Here is a 25287-nt window from a genome sequence, read left to right as displayed (position 1 = left end):
ATGAACGCAGTGGTGATAAGGCCGTGGGGATGCGCAAGAGGAGCCAGGAAAAGCCCAGGGAGAGAGAAGGGAGAGGGCATACCTGCTTTGTCACTGCCACACCCTCATCTGTAGGATGAAATGGGAGTGCCTCCTTCACCCGGTGGTTGTGATCATGTAAAGAGGAGATGTGTGTTAAAGAGCCTTGTGTATGACAGATACTAACAAGTATTTGCATAAGCAGAGAAAAGATATAAAAGCCAAGGAATTAGATTTTATACTGTGTTCAAAGAACAAAACAGCAGCTGCTTTATATTTAATGAACAACACAGTATCATATCTGTGCTACTATGTTTTTTCTAACAGATTTGTCTTTCCTTGCTCCTTGGACTGTAAGGGGATAAGAGCTATAACCCACAGTTGTTTGTATTTTGCGTACATTTAAGTACTCATAGCATATATTAGGTATCTACTAAATATATAAACATGGTTGATTGATTGTCTAATAGCAAAAAAATTTTTTTTTTTAGAAAGACTCCAAGCTGGATATATAGTTCCAATTACTCCAGCACTTCTCTATAAATGACAAACCACTTGCTCTCTCCGGGTCCTGTTGCTCCCCCACTGGAGAACTGTGATTAATGTCCCTTCCCTGTTTGAGAGTGGTGGTCCAAAGATTAATGAAGTCAGAATCCCTTGGAGATAACATGAGTAAGAAATGGGCTGTATTGTTGTCCTGTTGTAATGAATTTGAAAATTATCCTATATTGTCCAAATGGCAACTGACTCATCAAAAGTGGGTGTTTGGAAGTGATAAATGGAAAGTCTGAGGATTTTCTCATTAATTAACTTGGCTGTGAAAATAAGCACTGGCCCACATTCCCAGTGAAATAAAAACAGACCAAAAGGTAACCAAAAAGCCAGGCTAGTATGGAGTGGCGTAAATTCTGCCCTGGGCATAGACTCAGACTTTTGGCAGTCAAGTAATAATTTTATATAGGTAATATATCACTTTCTATTATATGTTTTCCAAATTTTCTATAATGAGCACATGCTCTTTTATAATAAAAGTTAATTTTTAAAAATATTATTAACATAAAAAATATTCATCATACATTTATAACATAAGATAATATAATAGAGATTAAGTAAATTCTGTATTTATTTTTTCCTATGTTTTTGAGTCTGCTTTATCAAAATTCCATCATGTTATTTGCCCTTTATTCTATTACCAAATAAATCAAAGGTCTTTAGCTGTAAGCAACAGAAATTACATCTGATGAATATATACCAGAAAGGAAACATGCTGGGAATATATGGGGGAATTCAAAAGTTCAAAAGGAAAGCTGGGAGCCAAGCTTAGGAAGCCGGGAGGAGGACAGAAGTGGTTCTAGGGGTTCCACAGGAACTATGAGCAGGCTAATCCGGTTGCCCTTTTGACAACCCATGAGTTCAAACCATCCACCCTAATTCCTGTCCAACTAGGGAAGGAAGATCTGGCCAGCCCAGTGAGGACCATATTTCTGCCTATGGCTAGGGGACAGTAGGGCACCTTGCTAACTGTTTCATCCAGACTGTATCCAAATGACTTTGGTTGTTCACCCAAGGGAGTTTTAATCTTAATCCCAAAAGAAATGAAATGGATGTTGGACAAACAAAAACAGATGCCCACCACATTAGGTAATAGTTTCCCCCCTGTGACTTCTTAAAAGTATAATTTACATATAAACAATAATGTTTCAAACTGACCACTTGGTCTATTGGGGAACTGCTCTGATTGTTAGGAAACCCTTCTGCAATTGTTGATTCCATTTCTATCCCTCCATAGCAAAAGAAGGGTCAGGATGGTGGTGGAGTAAAAGAAGGGTCAGGATGGTGGTGGAGTTGGAAACAGTATTGTTTGAGGACCAGTTGAGAAAGCTGCATGATGGAGCAGCTTGAAGGTGAGAAGGAGACTCAAGGTGAAGTGAGCTCTCATCACCATGCTTCCAAAGGGCAGCCAGCCATGTAGCAAAGGAATGAGCGTTGTTCTTTCTTTCCCTAGAGGCTACAATTAGGACCAATGGGTGGAACTTCAAGGGAGGCAAATGCAAATGTAATCTCAAGGAATGGTAGAACTTTTCAACAGAGTTGCCCCACTCTGGAGAGTTGGAAGTCCCCATCTCAAAAGGTAGGCAAAGAGGAATTTCAGCATGGATGGGGTTGGGTTATACTTGTATGATCTCTAAGGGTTCTTTGGATCTTGAGATTCTATTATCCTATGAGCCTTTATTCTTTGCAAGCCTAAAGTATGTCAGGCTGAAGAGGGTTCCTTGCTTTTCTCAGCCTCTGGGTCACACCCATGCCTCAGACTCAGCTTCTCTTTTTCATTTCATTTGCTTGAAAACTTGTGTTTGTGGAAGAATTCTCCATGGACTACTTACTGCAGGAGAATACTGGGATTTCCTCAACTGAATATAGCAAGCAGGAGAGGAGAGAAAAAGCATGAACAGTGGATTAGTAGTAAGAATTCTTGACCAGCCTGGCCAACATGGTGAAACCCTATCTCTATTAAAAATACAAAAAATTAACTGGGCGTGGTGGCGTGCACCTGTAATTCCAGCTACTTGGGAGGCTGAGGCAGGAGAATTGCTTGAAGCTGGGAGGCAGAGGTTGCAGTGAACCGAGATCGCACCACTGCACTCCAGCCTGGGTGACAGAGTGAGACTCCATCTCAAAAAAAAAAAAAAAAGAATTCTTGAGTTTAAATCCCAGCTCTGCCACTTACACACTGTGAGATCTTAGGCAAGTCCACTTGGGTCTTGTAATTCTTATTCCATTCATATGTAAAAAGTACAATAACAATAATAATAAAACTAATAACCTGCCTTACAGGTTGATAAACATATGTAACACCTGGTTTTCATTGGGTCCTAATTATTTACTAGATTATTTACATGCATTATTTACAAGCATTATTTCATTTAATTCTTCTAACAACCACATAATGCATATATTCTATCATTTCTATCTCACAGATGAGAAAACTGAGGTTTAGAGAGATGAAAGCATTTGCCTAAGTGTCAGAGCTAAAAGAAAAATCAACAGAGTCGGCCGGGCACGGTGGCTTAGCCCTGTAATCTCAGCACTTTGGTAGGCCAAGGCGGGTGTATCACCTGAGGTCAGGAATTCAAGACCAGCCTGGCCAACATGGTGAAACCCCATCTCTACTAAAAATACAAAAATTAGCTGGGCGTGGCAGCAGGCACCTGTAATCCCAGCTACTCAGGAGGCTGAGGCAGGAGAATCGCTTGAACCCCAGAGGAGGAGGTTGCAGTGACCCTAGATCGCGCCTTTGCATTCCAGCGTGGGAGACAGAGGGAGTCTCCATCTCAAAAAAAAAAAAAAAAAAAAATCAATAGAGTCTAACTGATTACTTTCTAATGCCAGACCACAGTTGTCAGAATTACATGAGCTGGCACATATTATACCGAACTTAACAGAGGGTCTGGCACATAATAGGGACTCAGTAAATTCTAGTTCTCTTCTACTCATCGTGCTTGCCACTTCAATTTTCTATTGAATAAAAACTCCAGTTAACCAACATTCATCTTTACATGTTGTGCCCCGGTGTCGCCTTCATCCTCAGGCTGGTCACAAGATGGCGGCAGCAGTTCCACATGTCAAATCAAAACACCACACAATGGTCTTCTTCCTCTTTTTCAAGAGCAAGAAAACTTTTCCTAGAGGCCTCCTTTCACATCTTATATAACGGAGTTCGGTCCACAGTCTCGTTCCTAAACCAATCACTGACAAAAGAGGATTGACTGAATAACTGTTGGGCCAATCAGATTCACCCCTGGAGGTGGTCAGCTTCCAAAATCTGCCTTCTGCTTAGATGGAAAAAGGAGCTAACAGATGCCGGTTAGGCTACCAACTGTCTCCCCTACACCCCTATTTTCCTGAAAAAGAAATAGAAGGTCAGAGGAATTTCATTAATATGTCCAGACTCAAAGGGCAGGAGTGGGGTTGCAGCAAAGGAAGCGTGTGGCCAACGTGGCTCCTAGGAAAGCAAACGGCTTTAGGCTGTGTCATGGTAGGAAGAGGATTTATGACAGTGGTTCCCAGCTGTGCTGCACTAATGACCAGACACCACCCCTGGGGATTCTGATTTACTTGTTCTAGGAGGAGCCTGGGCACCAAGGATTTTAAACGCTGCCCAGGATATTTTAATGTGCAGCCGAGATATGCAGCACAGGCTTAGGTGGAGAGCTGTTGGAATGTGGAGGCCTCAGGGCCAAAGGCACAGAGTCTCCACAGGATAACAAGAAGCCTGTCTCCTTTTTCTCCCCAATAATTGCTGCCATTTATTTAGGATCCTCATGTTTCAGGCATAGCTGTACCCCCAAACATTCTACATCTAGTAGGCAGTCAATAAGCAAATGAATCACAAATGCTTTTCTTATCGAATAGAAAATTTTTACACAAGCTCCACAAAGTAATAATGCTTCCACTTTACAGATGAGGAAACCAAGGCCCAGAATTTTTTTTTTTTTTTTTTGAGGCAGAGTCTCGCTCAGTCGCCCAGGCTGGAGTGCAGTGGCTCGATCTCCGCTCACTGCAAGCTCCGCCTCCTGTGTTCACGCCATTCTCCTGCCTCAGCCTCCCGAGTAGCTGGGACTACAGGCCCCCGCCACCACGCCCAGCTAATTTTTTTTTGTATTTTTTTAGTAGAGACGGGGTTTCATTTCACCGTGTTAGCCAGGATGGTCTCGATTTCCTGACCTCGTGATCCACCCTCCTCAGCCTCCCAAAGTGCTGGGATTACAGGCGTGAGCCACCACGCCCGGCTGGCCCAGAAATTTTAAGAAAGTAAGTCTCTCTGACTGTGCTCTCCAAGTTCTGTCCATCAGCCCAAGAAATCAGGATCTGAGAAGCAAAACTAGCCCTAGGAAAGCAGGAGTAGCCAAGAAAAAGGCCCTAGAAGAACTAGTAGAGGGCCCCCTCTCCCCTTCTTTCTGTTCCCCGACCCCACCCCCCACTCCCAACCACCACCACCACCAAAGCCTCTCCTTGCATTTTACACTGTCTGGGACCTCTTTGTGGCCCTCCCACCTGCCTGGGAACACTGGCCTCTTAGGGTAAAGGAGGAAAGGACTGAAGCTTTCTGACAGAGGCACAGGCAGGAGTCAGGATCAATTCTTAATTTTGAGAAACCCCAGAGGTGGGAAAGGACCGTGACCCCGTAGGTTGGGAGGCCTGGGAATGAGACCTGGTCTCAGCGCCTCACTTGTGGTGTGACCTTGAGCAAGGCCCTTCCTATTTCTGGCCTCCAGTGTCTTCATCTGTAACATGAAGAAGTTGGACCAGAATCTACAGGTCATAAACTCAAGTGCTTTTAGGTCCAGGTAATTGATGTATACTAATGGGGCAGCCTGGATGAGAAGTCACTGTTGGGGAACTAGTGTGCATATGTCCTGTCCACAAGGGTGTAAATTTATTGAATCCCAGCCAGTTGTCACCATAGAGGCATGTTGGCTCAGCATTGTGAAAGCTTCAGATTTATTTTTTTTTTAATATGCTAAGAAATCTATATGTTGTGTGCACCCTCCTGGTTAATGTTAGTCTGATAACAATAATAATAAACTTCTGCAAGGCAAACAAAATATGAATGTGGGCTGAATTTCACCTGCAGGCAGTTTCTTTGTGATCTGCAGGCTAAGTGATCTGTAAGGCCCTAACTCTCATATTCTGTGATTTCTAAATAAGGAGATACCTGACCGTATATGGCAGAGGGCAAAAATCAGCATTTCTGCACTAACTGAAAATTCTTTTCATGAAGTAAACCCAAACGGCATTGTCCTCATTAATAATTCTTAATACTTGGGTCTGAATTTATTTATGAGGCTCTGCAAAAATTACCTCAAAATCTGAGGATCACAGTTTAGAAAACTAAGGCACCCTCTTTATAGAGAAATAGTGCCCTCTGCTGGAAGAGTGTTACAGGAAACACCTTTGGCGTTGAGTTAATTTAATACTTGGAAAGAGTGGATTTGTTTGTTTCCACTTGAAATAGATTTAATGAAGAATAATAAATAAAATAGAAAAGCATATTTATGAATGGTTTGATGCATGTTAGGCAGAAATTGGGCTTTCATGTATCCATTTGGGAGTAATTACTCTTAATCTATTAAAAAAATGTCCAAGATTAGAGAAAGGAAGAAAACATTTGTTACATTAACTGACAGCAATCTGGAATGGCAGACACAGACACAGAGAGGAAATTGAAATCTATGTCTCCAGACTTTGCTCTGGAAAATCGGAGCCTTTATAATAATGTATTGCAAGTTTATAGGCTTTATCAGTTACTTTCACTGCAACCTTTTAATAAATCTTCCCAGTGACTATCCAAGACAGATATTATTATTATCTCCATTTGACAGATAAAATAAATGAAGCCCAGAGAGTTTGAGTGACGAGCTGGAGATTCCTGCACAATGAAATGCCAGAAATAAGCTTAGGTAATTTCTCTATTTGTAAAAAATGGATAAAAACAGTACTCTACTTGCAACAAGCGTTAACTGAGAACATATTTGTGAGACATTTAGCACAGTGTTTAGCCCAGAGTGAACCTGGGACTCCATAGTAGCTACTGCTACCAGCCCAATGCCCATATCCAGGTCTTTTGACTCCTTACCCTTGCCTTTGCCACAACATTGGGCAGAGTCTTGAATGGTCAAAAAGGAACACCATGCTGCTGGGATTGATAGCAGTGGCCCCAACCCCTAAAAATATAGTCCAGATTTTTTAACCATTAGTGGCTTTGATAATGGCTCTTAAGATCTTGAGTTGCCTCATTAAAATAGGTTGTTCTAAATAAGGGAAGTTATGGTTCCTGTGAATCGTGCACCCCACACCACACCAGGACTATTGTGTAAGTTCCTGAAATCCACATTTAACACGGACATGCTGGGGAATATCTAAAACAAGTGCTGACAGGTCCAGGAGCCACATCAGAACTGTTGAAGGAACTGGGGATATTTGGCCAGGAGAGGAGAAGACTCAGGAGTGAATTTATTCTCTCACTCTTTCACTTGTTCATTCATCCTACAACATGTCCTAAGTGCTTACTCTGTACGTGGCACCATATTGAGTGCTGAGGATACAGCAAAACAGACCTAAGGGCTGGTCTCATGAAACCTAATCTAGTGAGGTCAGAATAGTAGGGGTTGTCACGTGCAAAGTTAGCTTTGTTCTGGGTGAGTCCATATAGCCGGACCGGGGCCATCTGAAAAGTAGATTTGGGCAGAACTTTTAAACTGGCTGGAGGGATCTGGCTCAACTGTGAGGACTACTTATTGCTGAGAGCATGCAAGATGAGTCTAGGAACCTGTGGAAGCTTTAGAAGGAATTCAAGGTGGGGTGGAGTGGGTGGGATTTGGCCGTCTTAGTTTCCTCGCAGCCTAGACACTGTGGATGCATCGGCTTTGCCCACTCCGCTCTGGGAAGCCCTCTGAAGCTGCGACTTGTGCTTTCACTCTGAGACGGGAATCACAAGGACCTAATGCCCCTTGGTCTTTGGCTTCCTTTCTTAAGCCTTTGTCTTCTTGGTGGTTTGGTGATACTGTGGCCTTTTCTCTTCTGGTCACAGCTAAACAGTGTCCCATAACCACAGAACATAAAGGAATTGGCAGCAAAAATCTTTAGGACAGGACATGGATTTTTCAAAAATACATAAAAAATAAATTCATCTTCATTATCAATAAACTAGGTGCAAAAATTAATCAATAGGAATGAGAGGGGAAAATCACCTAAAGATAACAACTGCCCACAATATTTCCTTCCATTTTTTTCCTTCTGTTTAGGATTTTATTTTTTTTATTTATTCATTTTATTTATTTATTTTTGAGACAGAGTCTCGTCGCTCTGCCACCCAGGCTGGAGTGCAGTGCTGCAATCTTAGCTCACTGCAACCTCCACCTCCCAGATTCAAGCAATTCTCCTGCCTCAGCCTCCCGAGTAGCTGGGATTACAGGCACGCCCCCACGCCCGACTCATTTTTGTGTTTTTAGTAGAGACAGGGTTTCACCATGTTGGCCAGGCTGGTCTCAAACTCCTGATCTCGTGATCCTCCTGCTTCGGCCACCCAAAGTGCTGGGATTACAGGCATGAGCCACTGTGCTCAGCCTATTTTATTTTTTAAGTGCATATGATCACACCAAATCCTACTATTTCACTTAGGATTATTCACACAAAATATTTCTGTAAAGTGACAAGTTCTTCATTACAATCTTATATAATTAGGTTGGTGCAAAAGCAATTGTGATCTTTGCCATTATTTTTAATATTTATTCATTTAATAGTCATTTATTTAATATGCATTTATGTAAAGTATTTGCTAATACTTTTAATAAATTATGTAATTATGTTATTATATAATATTGTTTTGAGTTAATACACCATAGTTTACTTGTCCATTCTCCTATCATTGGCCATTTCCAATTTTTGATATTATAAACCATGCCCAGATCTAAGACATTCTATGACTATCTGAAATGTGAAGAAATATTTGTGTACAAAGAAGTTTGTTGTGGTTTTTCATTTCCTATTGTCTCTCCTCTTCCCCACCCCTCGCACATAACAAACATATATACACCCCTAACTACTTGCTCTTTGCTGAACAAGCCAAAGTCTCCAGACATGGCCCATGCTGTTCCCTTTTCTAGAATACCCACGACCCACTACCCTTCATAACACACTTACTCATTCTTTAAGATCAAGCTCAAATGTCATCTGCTTTGCAAAGCCTCCTTCACAGCTCCCTAAGGTCCCTTTTCTCCGTTCCACCACGCTTCTGTCTTAACACTCTGTTGACTGAGTAAATGAGATGTTTGATCAGCTACTTAGAAAGTTAATTAATTGTCACACTGCTGGCCAATTTCTATAAGGGAAGTGGCCTAGCATCAAGCCAGAGAAGTCTCTCACATTTGTATGCATGTGTGTGTGCAAAAGCATTCTTCCTTCCTATCTATTCTGGATTAACTGGGTGTGTTCTTATGAGATGCTGACACTGCAGTGTGGTGAAAGGATCCTTGGTCTTTTCCCGGTTTGAATCCTTCCTCCCACTTTCTTCCAACACACCCTGAAGAAAAACCATGTATCAGACACAAAGTTGGGCTCTGGAAGTGCAAAAGCAAACAAGATGTGGTCTCTGCTCTTAAGAAACCTAGAGTTTAGTGGAGAAAACAAATGCATAGATGTAAAAATGCATAGAATCTGCATAGGTACTATTATAGAAATCCATATGGGCTATGGTTTTGGGAAAATAAAGAAGGAAATGGCTCTGTGGGGAGGGAGAAGATTGGCATTGGGTGAAGAGCGAGAAGAACTAACGTCGATTTGAAGATCAATAGATGTTCCCTGAGTGGACCAAAAAAGAAAGTGCATATGCAACCAGATAGAGCACAAAGAGATCTGCTTCTAGATCTGACCTAGGTTCCCACTACTGATGGATGATATGAGGCTTAAATTAAACAAGATAACATGTGTGAAGTGCTTTGTGCCATGACTGGGCCTCAGCATGAGCCTAGCATAGGGCAACTGTGCCAGATTGTCTCTTGCAACTCAGTACCATTTTTGCCCTTAGAAACCTAATAACTAAGTCTTGCAAAATCCCTATTCCCAGAATATGTTAGTTTGCTAGGGCTGCCATAACAGAGTGCCACAAACTGGGTGGCTTAAACAATAGAAACTTATTGTCTCACAGTCCTGTAGGCTGAAAATCCAAGATCAAGGTGTTGAAAGCGGTGGTTTCTGAAGTCTCTCCTTGACTTGTGGATGGTCATCTCATCTCCATGTCTTCATGTGGTCTTCTCTCTGTGCCTATCTGTGTCCTAAACTCCTCTTTTTATAAGGACATCAGTCATATTAGAGTAGGGCCCACCCACATAACCTCATTTTACCTTAACCCCTTTTTAAAAAGATTAAGGTAAATCTGCAAATACAATCACATTCTAAGGTACTGGGGGGTATGAACTTCAACATGTGAACTTGAGGGGACACCATTCAGCCCATATCACAAAGTTTCAGGGCTTAGAGCCATACATGCAATATTTGAAAGGCAAAAGAGACTCAAAAGCCAGTATTTTGGTTTTCAGCTGGTGGCAGATGTGAAGTTTTTCTGGAGCTGTACCTTCCAGCCACGCTCTTGAACATAACCCATTTAGCTGCTGCAGACAGCCCAAAGCATTAGCAGCAGCTTCCTGCCATGGCTGCGCTTCCTGACGTCCTGAACACTGGCAGTTGGCTCGCCTAACCTTTGTTCTGCCGGTTCTTCTAATGGTTTTGTAAGCTTCTAATTTCCTGTATAAAATTTATTCCTGTTTGAGATACCTACAGTGGTTTTCATTTTTTACTAAACCTTGGAGACTATAGTAGTTATTATTACTATTTTCTTTTTTTGAGATGGAGTTTCGCTCTTGTTGCCCAGGCTGGAGTGCAATAGTGCGATCTCAGCTCACTGCAACTTCCACCTCCTGGGTTCAAGCAATTCTCCTGCCTCAGCCTCCCAAGTAGCTAGGATTACTGGCATGTGCCACCATGCACGGCTAATTTTGTATTTTTAGTAGAGATGGGGTTTTTCCATGTTGGTCAGGCTGGTCTCGAACTCCTGACCTCAGGTGATCCACCCAACTCGGCCTCCCAAAGTGCTGGGATTACAGGCGTGAGCCACCGTGCCCGGCAGTAGTTACTATTTTAAGTGGTGATATGGTTTGGATCTCTGTTCCTGCCCAAATCTCGTGCTGAATAGCAATCCTCAGTGTTGGAGGTGGTTGGATCATGGGGGTGAAATTCTCATGAATGGTTTAGCACCATCCTCCCTTGGTACTGTGTAGTGAGCCAGTGAGTTATCATGGGATCTGGTTGTGTAATGGTGTGTAGCACCTCTCCCCTCTCTCTCTTGCTCCTTCTCTGACCATGTAAGACATCCCTGCTTCCCTTTCACCTTCGACCATGATTAAAAGTTTCCTGAGGCCTCCCTGGAAACTGAGCAGATGCCAGCATCATGCTTCCTTTACAGCCTGTGAAACCATGAGCCAATTAAACCCTCTTTTCCTTATAAATTACCCAGTCTCAGGTATTTCTTTATAGCAATGCAAGAACAAACTAATACAAGTGGTATGGGATGGTTGATGAGTGGAGTCTCCAAGAATCTATTAAAGAGAAGAGGGTGAGTGGCAAGCAGGCCTGAACAGATCTTGGAGAAACTGGGATATGAACTAATGACTTGGCATTTATTCTATGGGCCAAGAAATTATAAACTTTCCCACTGAAACACCTCTTATGGCGGAAAGAGCAAACTTGTGCTGCTAAGGTAATATGTTTGGATCTGTGTTCCCTCTGCAAATCTCATGTTGAGCTGTGATCCCCAATGTTGGAGGTGGAGCCTGGTGGGAGGTGATTGATCATAGGGACAATTTCTCATGAATGTTTTAGTACTGTCCCCTTGGTACTGTCCTCAGGACAGTGAGTGAATTCTCATGAGATCTGGTGGTTTCAAAGTGTGTGGCACCTCCCCCTTCCCTCTCTCTTGCTCCTGCTTTTGCCATGTGAAGTGCCTGCTCCCTCTTTGCCTTCTGCCATGATGAAAATCTCCCTGAGGACTCCCCGGAAGCAGATGCCACCATGCTTCCAGTACAGCCTGCAGAACTGTGAGCCAATTAAACCTCTTTTCTTGTAAATTACCCTGTCTCAGGCATTTCTTTATAGTAATATGAGTATGAACTAATATGCAAGGGTTCTGACACCAACTGCTACAACTAAAAAAAAATTCTTTGAAATATTTCAGCCCATCCAAATTTTTCATCTTGGCTATAATATATTCATTTGTTTTCATGTAAAATGATGTTTTTAGTTACTAGCCATCACGTAAAATTAGCATTTTAAAGTGATATTATGTTTAGCTTATGGCTCTGGGACCTGGTCACATACAACAGTTTGGGGAGCACAACCTGAGACAACATGAAGATATTGAACGGCTTTGAGGAACAAAGTAAAATCCAGAAGTTGCTTTTCTGAATTATCTCTGAGCTGCTGTGTAAAAGCGGGGAGATTTGTTTGAAGGCTACTATAACAATCCAAGCGAAACATGATGAGACACTGAAGGCAGACCCTGGCAGGGAGTATGAGAAGAAAGGAACCAATACAGGGAATGAAGAGAGCTTGGGCAAGTCCCTTCACTCCAGAACTCAGCAGAATAAACAGGTTGAACCATATGACAGACAAGGCCCTCCCCAGCCCAAAGATATTGTCACTTTTCTCTGCTTATCTTTACTTTCCCTTATGCTTGCCTCTTAATCTATTATAAGTATTCATAGTTTATTTCACTCAAAAGCCAGCTAAGGGACTTTAGCTGCTAGTTTTGCCAATGAGACAAAATTGTACAGACTTGTTTGTTTTACCTGTTAATATCCCAAGGAACTGTTGTTCTGCGGGACACTCTTTTTTATTTATTTATTAATTTTTTGAGACGGAGTCTTACTCTGTCGCCCAGTCTGGAGTGCAGTGGCGTGATCTCGGCTCACTGCGAGCTCTGCCTCCCGGGTTCACGACATTCTCCTGCCTCAGCCTCCCGAGTAGCTGGGACTACAGGCGCCCGCCACCACACCTGGCTAATTTTTTGTATTTTTTAGTAGAGACGGGGTTTCACTGTGTTAGCCAGGATGGTCTCAATCTCCTGACCTCATAATCCGCCCACCTCGGCTTCCCAAAGTGCTGGGATTACAGGCGTGAGCCACCGCACCTGGCCTCTCAGACTTGTTTGTTTTAAAGGAGGAGAGGAAGTTCTAGATATAAGCAGAGATTTTTTTTTCTTTTTTTTTTTTTTTTTTGAGACAGTGTCTCACTCTGTCACCCAGGCTGCGGTACAGTGGCACAATCTCGGCTCACTGCAACCTCCGCCTCCCTGGTCCAAGCGATTCTCCTGCCTCCCAAGTAGCTGGAATTACAGGCATGTGCCACTGCACCTGGCTAACTTTTGTATTTTTAGGAGAGACGGGGTTTCACCATGTTGGCCAGACTAGTTTCGAACTCCTGACCTCAAGTGTTCCACCTGCCTTGCCTTCCCAAAGTGCTGGGATTACAGGCACGAGCCACTGAGCCCAGCCTATGCAGTGATATTTTGACATAGGATTTGAGTAATTTCCAATTCCAGTTTTGTAACATGTTACCTGACATGTAAAGGCACTCAATAAATAACTGTTGAATTACCGAAGTAATGAATGACGAGTTACGTATTTCAATGCATTCAAAACTTCTTATGGGAAGTCTTCCCTTACATTATCTGTGCAACTTGACCTCATCTTGGCCCTTCTGCCATAATGCAAGGCCTTGTGCTTATGCTGTTGTCTCTGCTTAAAATGCCCTTTGTCTCGTAACCCATCTGGAAAATGTCTACTCACTTGTCATAACTCAGTTCTCACATATATTGTTAGAGAACAGTGTAACTATGTAAAATGAACATAGGCATTAGAGTTGCAAAGACCTAGGTTCACATCCAGGCTCTCACACATACAATGGGAAGCTGTCCCAAGAGTTCTTTCTGTTAACTTTTGGTTTACTAAGTGATAAGGAAAACAAGAAAAACTGTTTTACCAAATCCAGTCATCATTTTCCATGGCTGTGAATCATATTTCTGCAGGCAGTCCAACCTAGTAATAGACAAAGCCTCATATTTGGCTTTGCTCAATGTCTTAAACTGCTGCCAAGTAGAAACATGGCCATGAGTTGAATAGCAAACGTATCTGATGGCATTAAAATCTCAGCTATAACTGGATGCACCAGAACTTTCACTTCATTCAATTTCTGGATTTCAACCAGGTCAAACATGTTGACTAAGCTTGGGCATTGCTGTGCTGCAGGCGTCCATACTTTAAGTTTGGGGTTGACCAAAACTGGGCAAGTTCAGTGAGGCATTCATGGCAAGACTGTGGGAAACCAATTGGAAGGGTGGAGCCCCTCATCCTTCCACTAAACATACATTTTCAGCTTGTACCCTAATCCACCTTGTTGACACACCAGGTTCATGATGCATTTCATCCATTGTCAACACCTTGGCCGTTGAATTCACAGATATGCTCAGCTGTCACCTTCTCTCTCAAGCCTGTTTTCCAGAACCAACACAGAAATACCTGAATTCTACTTTTGTCATTATATATCAAGAGGTCTAGATAAAATAAAAATGTACCTAAAGGGCATGAAATTATAGGCGTTTTGAAACAAACTTCAAGGTAATACCAAACCTATTTTTATACAATTCAGCTACCACATTGCACATTCAACATAAACAAGACCGCCCTTTAACTGAAAGGTAATTTTTGAGACATACTAGGTTTCATTCCTTAGGCAAGTTTCCTAAACTCTCTGTTTCAGTTTCATTGGTATCACATGTGAAGAATAATACCCATGCTGAGACTTTAAAAGAGTATATTAATATATATAATACATTATTTGTAATAGATTATTTCATATGTTATATATCATATAGATTATTACATATATTAATATATGTGATATAATCTATATGATATATAATAATATATGTAGTATATGATGTATGATCTATATAATATATGTAATATATTATGCATAGTGTATATATTATTACTCATATAAAATATACATTATTACATATATTATATATCACATTATTCTATATGTAATATACCATATATAATAATATATGTCATGATAACATGTAATATTACATATATGTTATATGTTATGATAATATATAAAATTAATATATAATCTTATATGCTGTTAATATATAATGTTATATGTTACATATAATATTAATATATAACATATCATTCATATATACTACATATACACTACATATGTACAGTATAAGGATTAATGTATAATATATAATATATCTTACATATATAACATTTATTATATGTTATATATTATTATTATATTTTATAATAACATTGTATTATATGTTATACAATATATAATATGTATGATTATATAATTGATATGTAATGATATTATGATTATTGATATATAATTATTATATAATTATACAATTGTAATATTATATTATACATAACATAATATATACTACATTATATTATATGTTAATATATATGATACATTGTAACATATATATGTAAAAATATATATTACATAATTATATATCATATATGTAATAATATATTGTATAAAATTACATATATAACATATTGTATACATACTATATAATATACATGTTGTATATATACTATATAGTATATATCGCACATATAATATGTATCTATACTATATATCATATAGTATATATTCATATAATATGTAAATATGTATAACATATACATATTATATATTGCATATATAATATATTATCATATATACTATATATTATATATACATATAATATATGTATACATATACAATATATATATTTCTATTTTACAGTTGATTTAAACTGAGGCACATAGTGGTTAAGAACTTGTTAAAACTCAGAGAGCTGGAAGGTGGAAGAGCCAAAGTATTTGACTCCAATAAATGTATACATATATATATATATGTATACATATATGCACAAATATATGTATAGATGTATATATAATATATGTATATAAATATATGCATACGCATATATAATATATGTATACTATACATACATACGCATATATAATATATGTGTACTATACATACATACGCATATATATGTGTACTATACATACAGACGCATATATATGTGTACTATACATACAGACGCATATATAATATATGTGTACTATACGTACATAGGCATATATATGTGTACTATACATACAGACGCATATATATGTGTACTATACATACAGACGCATATATATTATATGTGTACTATACATACAGATGCATATATAATATATGTGTACTATACATACAGATGCATATATATGTGTACTATACATACAGACGCATATATAATATATGTGTACTATACATACAGACGCATATATAATATATGTGTACTATACATATAGACGCATATATGTGTACTATACATACAGACGCATATATAATATATGTGTACTATACATACAGACACATATATAATATATGTGTACTATACATACAGACGCATATATATGTGTACTATACATACAGACGCATATATAATATATGTGTACTATACATACAGACGCATATATAATATATGTGTACTATACATATAGACGCATATATATGTGTACTATACATACAGACGCATATATAATATATGTGCACTATACATACAGACGCATATATAATATATGTGTACTATACATACAGACGCATATATAATATATGTGTACTATACATACAGACGCATATATAATATATGTGTACTATACATACAGACGCATATATAATATATGTGTACTATACATACAGACGCATATATAATATATAATATATAGTATATATACACATTATATGCAATACATTATACAGTATATGTACATATATGTACATATACTGTATAATATATAATATGTGCAATATTATATTATATATTATTATATATTATATCATTTATTAATATATCATTTTATGTGAAATGCATAATATATTAATATATGTAATTCATATTATATATTACATATAGTATGTAATTTAGATTATATATTACATATAATATGTAATTTTGATTATATATTACATATAATATGTAATTTTGATTATATATTACATATAATATGTAATTTTGATTATATATTACATATATGTAATTTATATTATATAATCATATATTATTATATTATAGTGCATGACATATTATATAATTATGTATTATTATATGTTATATATAATTACAGGTTTTCTGTTATATATTATAATATATAATGATCATATATAATATGTAATATGTAATAGTTATATATTGCATTTATAATAATCTATTATTGTGTACCCAATAATCTATCATTGTATATATTATATATTAAGTATACATTATAATATCTTATTGTACATAAATTATATGTTACATATATAATGATATTTTATTGTATATGAAATATTGTATATATGATACATAATATAAATGTATGTAAAATAAGTATTATATACATAATAAATATTATCATGTATAGTATGTATAATAATTTGTTATCACATATTTAATAATATATTATACTTATGTATATAATACACACACTATATATATTTATATATATCTGGCACACAGTGGATGCTCAATATCCTATTGGTATCTGTAAGTATGCCTCAAAAACTCTACTTTTTACATTGTTTCCTCCCTCAGTACTGTGCTTATAGAATGTGTGTCTATCTACTTTGTGCAACTACACATTCCTTGTGTTTTTTATGAGTGTTGTGGGAGAGGACAGATGAATAATGTACGTTGAGTATCTGCCATAGACCAGGCTTAAGTGAGATGCTTTTCATACAGTATTTCGTGGCTCCTTCCCCAAACTCTGTAAGGAGACATTGAATCCCCATCACAGGGTGATGAAAGTCCAAGGACCTTGGACCATGTGTGATGCCATATTCTCTGCATCATATTTGTGCATCGTAGTGTAGGGACCGAGGTCAAAGCAATTGTTCAGTAAATATAGGAGAATTCTCCCTTGGATTCTTTTTTTTTTTTTTTTTTTGAGACGGAGTCTCGCTGTGTCACCCAGGCTGGAGTGCAGTGGCAGGATCTCAGCTCACTGCAAGCTCCGCCTCCTGGGTTCAGGCCATTCTCCTGCCTCAGCCTCCCGAGTAGCTGGGACTACAGGCGCCCGCCACCACACCCGGCTAATTTTTTGTATTTTTAGTAGAGACGAGGTTTCACCGTGTTAGCCAGGATGGTCTCGATCTCCTGACCTCGTGATCCGCCCGCCTCGGCCTCCCAAAGTGCTGGGATTGCAGGCATGAGCCACCGCTCCCGACTCTCCCTTGGATTCTTGAGGCCCCTTCCTGGAGTCTAATGCTCACTAAGGCTCGGTATTTGTGAGCAAGCACTTTGGAGTCAAATACTTTGGCTCTTCCACCTTCCAGCTCTCAGACTTTTGACAAGTTCTTAACCACTATGTGCCTCAGTTTAAATCAATTGTAAAATGGAAATCATGATAACATCTACCTCATATTATATTTGTTTTCAGAATAAAATGAAATAGTATATGTAAATTATTTTGTATAGTGCCTAGCATATAGTAAGTGCTCAATAAATGTCCCCTGAGTGGCACTACTGGAAAGATTCAGGAAGCTGCCTATCCAGCGTGGTAGGTCTAAGCCTCAGCAGCCTGCAGAAACTTGGGTGCTGTTGTTCACGGGAAGTGAAGCCCATTTTTAGCTGTGACAGTCTCACAGTTGACAAAGGAATGGTATTCATTTCCTTCAAAAGTTGTTTTGTTCTCTTTCCAAGGCTTTAGGGCAAATACTGGCTCAATAGGAAGCTCTCCGAAGGGTGAGTCAACAGTCACTCATTCTAAAAGGTGATTCACATGCCAGAGTGTGCAGTCCACAAATGTTATGGGGGTGGTACCTCTTGGGGAGAGACTGACAATGCCCTTAAATGAGTTGTTTATGATCACAAGCTGCTCATGAACAGACATGAGAACAGATGTGCCAATTAATTTCTCATATCCCCTCCACACTCCTTCACAAAGGGCACAACTCTTTCTCAAAAAGATGCTAAACTTGAGAATGACTAGCATCATTTCTCCCAAACCCCAGGCCTTTTCAAAACTTGGGCTCACCGAGAGTCAGAGGTAGAGCTGGAGATTTGGATGTTTCAAAGATTTGTGCATTCATATTGAGGTAAAATGAGAAAATTCTTGAAAAGCTGCCTGGAGGGGGATTTTGGAGTCTTGGGGGATTTCAGTGGATTGATGGCCTTGCTCCTGAATTTTTACTTGATGACAAACATTTTGTCAAAATCCAAAATTATTAATCTAATATTTTTCTGTTTGTTTCTTCCAGTAGACTGTGCACACCTCAGGGATACCAAATCTTACTTTGTATCTGTAACAGGTATGTTTGTGAAGTCCAGCATTAGCAATGTGTCAAAATGCCTGAGTCTGAATCTGAGCTTTAGGCAAGTTATTTAATCTCTCAGTGCCCCAATTTCCTCATCTATAATATGGAGACTCCAAATAATACCTACCTGGTAGGGTTACTGTGAACATTAATTGATCTGATGCATTGCCACTCAAAGTGGGATCCAAGACCAAAACAGGTCTACAAACTGTTAGCTGTCCCCTGACAGTTACCTACAGGAAGTAAGAGTAACCTCTGTAGCCGTTGCATTTTACCACAGTAGTTTCATTATATTTTACAAATATATTGGACAGTAGTAGATCATAAAACAATTTTTTAACTAGTTCTTCATCATTATTTGAGACCCACTAGTAATGTATCTCTTCTAATATAGATGTGTTCCAGCATCTGCTTATTAAAATGTATATTGTTTTATTATAAATACACTCCTCTAGCTTCTTCTTCATGATTTTTCCTTCATGGTTGTCTTTGAGCTTGGTGCGTCAGTAGTATGATTTCTATTTCTGGATTTTTTTTTTCTTTTCTTTTTTGAGATGGAGTCTCACTCTGTCGCCAGGCTGAAGTGCAGTGGCACAATCTCGGCTCACTGCAACCTCTGCCTCCTGGGTTTGAGCAATTCTCATGCCTCAGCCTCCTGAGTATCTGGGATTACAGGCATGCACCACCACATCCAGCTAATTTTTGTATTTTTAGGAGAGATGGGGTTTGATCATGTTGGCCAGGATGGTCTCGATCTCCTGACCTTGTGATCCACCCACCTCAGCCTCCCAAAGTGCTGGGATTGCAGGGATAAGCCACCACGCCTGGCCTATTTCAGGATTTTTAAAGGAGATACGTATAATGTGTATTACTACAAGTGGGTGTTATAGAGTTGACAAGCACTAATGAAGAGTTTTATTTAATGTAAGGGCTTGGATTTGATTCTAGGATGGAGTAAGAGTGCTATAGTGTTCTAAGTGAAAAACCGGGGAGCATGATGTGAGAGGGGCTTCTAAGAAATTTCATCCTCTGGCAATCTGATGGGTGATAGGATCTCCTTCTGGGTTCCAGGAAAGCTCCCTTGATGAGGTCCTGGTTGAAAGCATCCTTTCCCACCTAATAGGGAACTCCATATCGTAGAGTATGGATTTTGCTCAAAATTAACTTATGAAATATTGGACCAGAGCAAATATTTAACCAGTGAAACTGTCATAAAAGTTACTGTTTTCCAAGTCTGCTAGTTCAAAAGCATTTAAGGGGGTGCAATTTTCTCTTCTGTGTAATGAGAGATTTATAATAGATGAATAATAGTGTGGTATAGCAGAAATAATAAAGGCTTTGGAATCAGACATAACAGTGTTTTTGTTTTTTGTTTTTCTCTACCACCTATTGACCAGCAAGTAACTTAACCTCTGGGCCTCAGATTCCTCACCTGTAAAATGGGGAAAATGACACTTCACCTTGTGGGCTCTTGTGAGAGTGAACATGATAATGCAATGTGTCCCTGACATATAGTATTTCAAGCATTGTTAGCTGCTATCCCCTGTCCTTATGTTTTCATGAAGGCATTTCTGTAAAGTAAATTAAACATGGCTGTAATTTTTTTACTATTCCTGTCACTGACTAGTGGAGTCTAATTCTCCACCCCTTGAGTCTGAGCTAATGTTAGTGACTTGCTTGACCAACAGAATGTAATAGAAATCATGTTCTGGGACTTACAAAGCCAGCTTGTAAGAAACCTTGTAGCTTTCATCTGGGCCTCTAGAAAAATTAGCTATGGGGGAAGTCAGCTGCCACATAAAAAAAAAAAATCTGATTAGTCTAAGTCTTTCATGCTGTGAAGAAGCCCAAGCTAGAAAAGTAGGGAGGCCAATGGGAGAAGAGATGCCCTGGCACACCAGCCATCCCAGCCCACATACCAGGCACAAGTGAAGAAGTATTCAGAAAACTCCAGAGCCAGCCACCATCTCTGACTATAATTGTATGAAAGACCCTGAGTGAGAACCACCCAGCTAAACAGAACTGTGAGAGAAAATTGTACTCTGTCTAGGTAACCACTGGTTTAGGAATGGTTTGTAAAGCAGCAGTAGAAAGCCAGGGCATTCTGCTAGAATAAAATTTTTGGTCCTCCTGCCTCTTGCTAACTAATTAGTGATGGATGGTTTCACAATAGTTTAGCCTCCATTAGTCTACAATCCCATATCGGCTGGGGTTAAGGTATTCAAACTGGTGCTCCCACATGGCCCACCCTTCCTTCCCATTTTGTGACCTGTGAGCTTTCTCTTCCTTCTGCTCTGTGAGGCAGGTGGTTGTTTCTTGGGGGAGGGCTGCTTGCCCAGCTGTGTCTAGGTAGCTAAGTATGAAGAAGCCAATTTTGCTTCAGGGTGAGGCTACTTTTGTCAGTCTAAATCTGGTGTGTTTATCTTCTCTTTGACTCAACTGGTTCAGAACCAGTGGGGAGTATTGAGACTGGCACCTCAGGGAGACCCCCAAGCTTCCAGCTCTGACATACAGCAAAGTAAATGGTCGAGTGTTAAGCCGATTCCTAACTTGCCCTATGCCCTTGCTTATAAGCAATTCTTGCCCATATTGCTAATAATGTGTTTAATTTCCTCAAATTTACAAATGACCTAAAAGAATTAGAGTCATGGTTAGTAAGTTTGCTGGTTTCTCTTGACACTTTCGATGAATGGCTTATATTAAGCACATTACAAAGAGTAAGACAAAAACTTTCCACCAAAGCCAAGTTGGTAAACAAAGCCCCATAGACTGCCATCATAACCTGTACAAAACTCAAACACAACTTCTGATTTCCTTGGTCAGCCTGAAGCCGACAATGTGCATCTGCTCTATTGAATTCTGTTGGGCCTTTATTATTTCTTTCAGTTACCGCTGTGCTACTTCCAATTATTCTTGCTGTTCAGGACAAAAAAAAGAATGAAAATTCTGTTAAGGTTACAGATATGGCATTTTCTGCCTATTTTGTATGATAATTGCATTTCCTTAATTTATTCATCCACTCAGTAAATTTTGAATGCAGAATTTAAAATAATAGCAGCATTATTCATACTAGCCAAAAAATGAAAACAACCCAAATGTCCATCAACTGAAGAATGGGTAAACAAAATGTAATACAATTGAGTATTATTTGGCAACAAAAAGGAATGAAGTACTCAACATGGATGAACCTTGAAAACATGATGCTAAGTGAAAGAAGTTACAAAGCACTACATATTATATGATTCCATTTACATGAACTATCCAGAATAGGAAAATCTAGGAAGACAGAAAGTTGACTAGCGGTTGCCAGAGGTTGAGAAGAAGGAAAGGAGTGACAGCTGATGAGGTTTCTTTTTGGGGTGAAACTGATGTTCTAAAATTAGATGATGGTGATGGTTACACAAGTCTGTGAATATGATTTTTTTAAAGTTGATTTGTATGCCTTAAAGGGTGAAAGTTATGGTATATGAACTATATATTAATAAAGTTGTGATGAAAAAATAAGACCTTTATTTGGGACATAACTGAAAAAATAGGAAGAATGTTGATGGCCTAATAATATTAAAAGACAAAAAATAGGTGTTGTGAACTGAATGTTTGCATCCTCCCAACATTCCTATGTTGAAGTCCCCTAATGTGATGGTATTAGCAGATGGGGCCTTTGGAAGGTGATTGAGTTTAAATTAAGTCATGAGACTGGGCCCCTCATGATGGGATTAGTGCCCTTATAAGAAGAGCAAGAAAGTGACACCTCTCTCTCCACAAGCACACACTGAGGAAAGGCCATGTAAGGACACCACAAGCAGGCACCATCTATGAGGCAGGAAGCAGGCTCTCACCAGACAGTGAATCTGCCAGCACCTTGATCTCGGACATTCCAGCCTTCAGAACTGTGAGAAGTAAGTCTGTTGTTTAAGCCACCCAGTCTGTGGTATCTTGTCATAGCAGCCTGAGCTGACTCTAACAGCAGGATACAAAATTCAATATAACCATAACTATGTAATACAAATGTACAGGACAAAAAATACATCTAAAAAAGGCTCAAAGTGTTAACACTATTCTCTCTGAGTGATCAAAATACTTTTTTTTTAACTTCTGTTTTTAAAGTGCTTGTAAAACACCAAATAGTAGCTCACGTTGACTGGCCTCTTCCTCCACACCAGGATCTCAGTTGGTCCTCACAACTATCCTATGAGGCAGGAACTGAGCTCTACATGCCTGTATTTTACATATTGGAAAAGTGAGACCCAGAGAGGCTAGGTAATTTGTTAAAGATCGCACAGCTACACATGACAGAGTATATATTCAGACTTCAGTCTGTCGGACTCTACAACTTGCACTTTTTAAGTGCCAACAGCAACAAACTTTATATTCTTCCTTTCCCTCGCCCCAAATTTACATTCCAAACATGTTATGCTACTGTAAAATCTTAACCGTTATTTGTGTATTCATATTTTGATACTGAAGGGAGGAGAATAAGCCTACTGGGGTGGCTCAAAAGCTTAGGCTGGCCTGAGAGAGTAAATTGTCACTTTGAGAATATGAATGAATTATTAAAGCCCACTTAGTAACTTGTTTCATCCAAGGGCCTCCTTCATCCTTTCCAGCTTTTGTTTATTTTATTTTATTTTTCTTTTAAAAGCCAGCCAAATTTAGCAGTGGATGGGGGCTGTATACCAACTTTAGTGACATTAATGTTAGTAAGTTCTGCTAACCCACAATCATCAACCTTTTGTTTATTTTAAAAACACCTTCTCGGCCAGGCGCGGTGGCTCATGCCTATAATCCCAGCACTTTGGGAGGCTGAGGCGGGTGGACCACTGGAGGTCAGGAGTTCAAGATCAGCCTGGCCAAACTGGTGAAACCCCATCTCTACTAAAAATACAAAAATTAGCTGGGCATGGTGGCTGGTGCCTGTAATCCCAGCTACTCAGGAGGCTGAGGCAGGAGAACTGCTTGAACCCGGGAGGCAGAGGTTGCCGTGAGCCTAGATCCCACCATTGCACTCCAGCCTGGGCGACAAAGCAAGACTCGGCCTCAAAAAAAAAAAAAAAAAAAAAAAAAAAGAAAAGAAAAGAAAAAGAAAAGAAAACCTTGTCAATGGCTGAACTGTGGAATCACAGAACCCCAAGGCTGGTAAGACCTCAAAAGCCATCAAGCCCAGTTCCCAATGTGATGGTACATCCTGAAACCCCACCCCCCCATCAAGGAACACCCTAACGATTACTCAAATACAGCTCCATGAGCAAGAGCTGCCCTCAACACCATGATCCCAGCATGGCCCAGCTCTTGGCTGCATCTGTGTTCTCACTTTGAGAGAATTTACTACCACCAAATTATCTGCAGAGAAAAATAGAGCAAATAGACTGTTGTCCTTACTTTTCCCTCATGGAAAAGGAATTTTAATGTGCTGCAACAAGTTGCTTGTCCAACACATTCAAGATAAGTCAGTGTCTAACTATGGCAGGAAGTGTCACCGATGCTCTGCCAAGAAGCACCTAGTGCCAGGCCAGGCTGCCTCTGACCAGGAGCTTCTTCCCGACGTTCCTCCTGCTCCAATCTTCCATATCTCAGCAAACGGCACCTGCATCCCTCGCACTGCTCAAGCTGAAAACCTAGGAGTTATTCCTGTTGCCTCCCTCTTCCTCACCCCCACAGCCAATCTGTCACCAAAGCCTGTTGATTATACCTCCAAAATATATCTCAATTTCATCTAGTTCTCTCCATTGCCACTACCCATGTCCAAACACTGTTGTTTCCCATCTGGACCCCTGCTCTCCCCACTTTCACAATAGTCTCCCCGAAACACACACACACACACACACACACACACACACACCACAGTCTATTAGCCATCCAATACCCAAAGTGATCTTTGAGAAAAGTATACTAGATATGCCACTCTTCTGCTTAAAGCCCCATAAATAGCTTTCCATTGCACCAAGAATATCATTAAAAATCCTCCCTGGTGATTCCTAGGGCCCCTGTGATCTGGCCTCAGCCTACCTCCTGGCTTCATCTCACACCACTCTCCAGCTCATTCATTGTATTCTAGCCTTGGTGGCCAGCTTTCAATGTCTGCCTGCCTTGGGGCTCCCACGATACCATCCTGGAATATTCTCCCTGCACTGTCCTATCTTGCCATCCGCCCCCACAATCTTGCTATGACTAGTTCCCATTCCTCCTCCAGGCATCAGCTTAAATGTTTCTTCCTCAGAGAGGTCTTCTATGACTTTATATTAGCTCCCTGTGAAGGCCAGGGCTCTTCTCTTGCAGATATCAGAAACCCAATTCTAATTGATTTAG

At 39.6% G+C, this 25287-nt stretch overlaps 2 long non-coding RNA genes across 2 annotated transcripts in view, besides 3 other annotated features; one reads left to right on the top strand and one right to left on the bottom strand.

The window, feature by feature from the left end:
* The window catches only part of LOC112268263 (uncharacterized), a 47142-nt gene that overhangs the window by 14208 nt on the left and 7647 nt on the right, over positions 1-25287 (bottom strand). The window lies entirely within an intron of this gene.
* LOC124904191 (uncharacterized) lies at positions 607-2112 on the top strand. Its single transcript, XR_007066130.1, has 3 exons — positions 607-690; positions 1808-1922; positions 2024-2112. It is a non-coding gene; the product is annotated as an uncharacterized LOC124904191 (long non-coding RNA).
* Positions 17941-19140: an enhancer, noted in NCBI's record as "P300/CBP strongly-dependent group 1 enhancer chr1:59192522-59193721 (GRCh37/hg19 assembly coordinates)". NCBI's record gives its function as "activates an origin of replication core promoter dependent on BRD2, BRD4, P300/CBP, MED14 and CDK7 cofactors, with strong dependence on P300/CBP, by STARR-seq in HCT116 cells {active_cell/tissue: HCT116}" and the evidence as "EXISTENCE:reporter gene assay evidence [ECO:0000049][PMID:35650434]".
* Positions 17941-19151: a biological region, named in NCBI's record as "P300/CBP strongly-dependent group 1 enhancer GRCh37_chr1:59192522-59193721".
* Positions 19102-19151: a silencer, noted in NCBI's record as "silent region_933". NCBI's record gives its function as "represses an Ori minimal core promoter by ATAC-STARR-seq in GM12878 lymphoblastoid cells {active_cell/tissue: GM12878}" and the evidence as "EXISTENCE:reporter gene assay evidence [ECO:0000049][PMID:35858748]".

Source organism: Homo sapiens, chromosome 1 (assembly GCF_000001405.40).
Source record: "Homo sapiens chromosome 1, GRCh38.p14 Primary Assembly".
NCBI lineage: Eukaryota > Metazoa > Chordata > Mammalia > Primates > Hominidae > Homo > Homo sapiens.
This window is presented reverse-complemented; position numbering and strand designations above follow the sequence as displayed.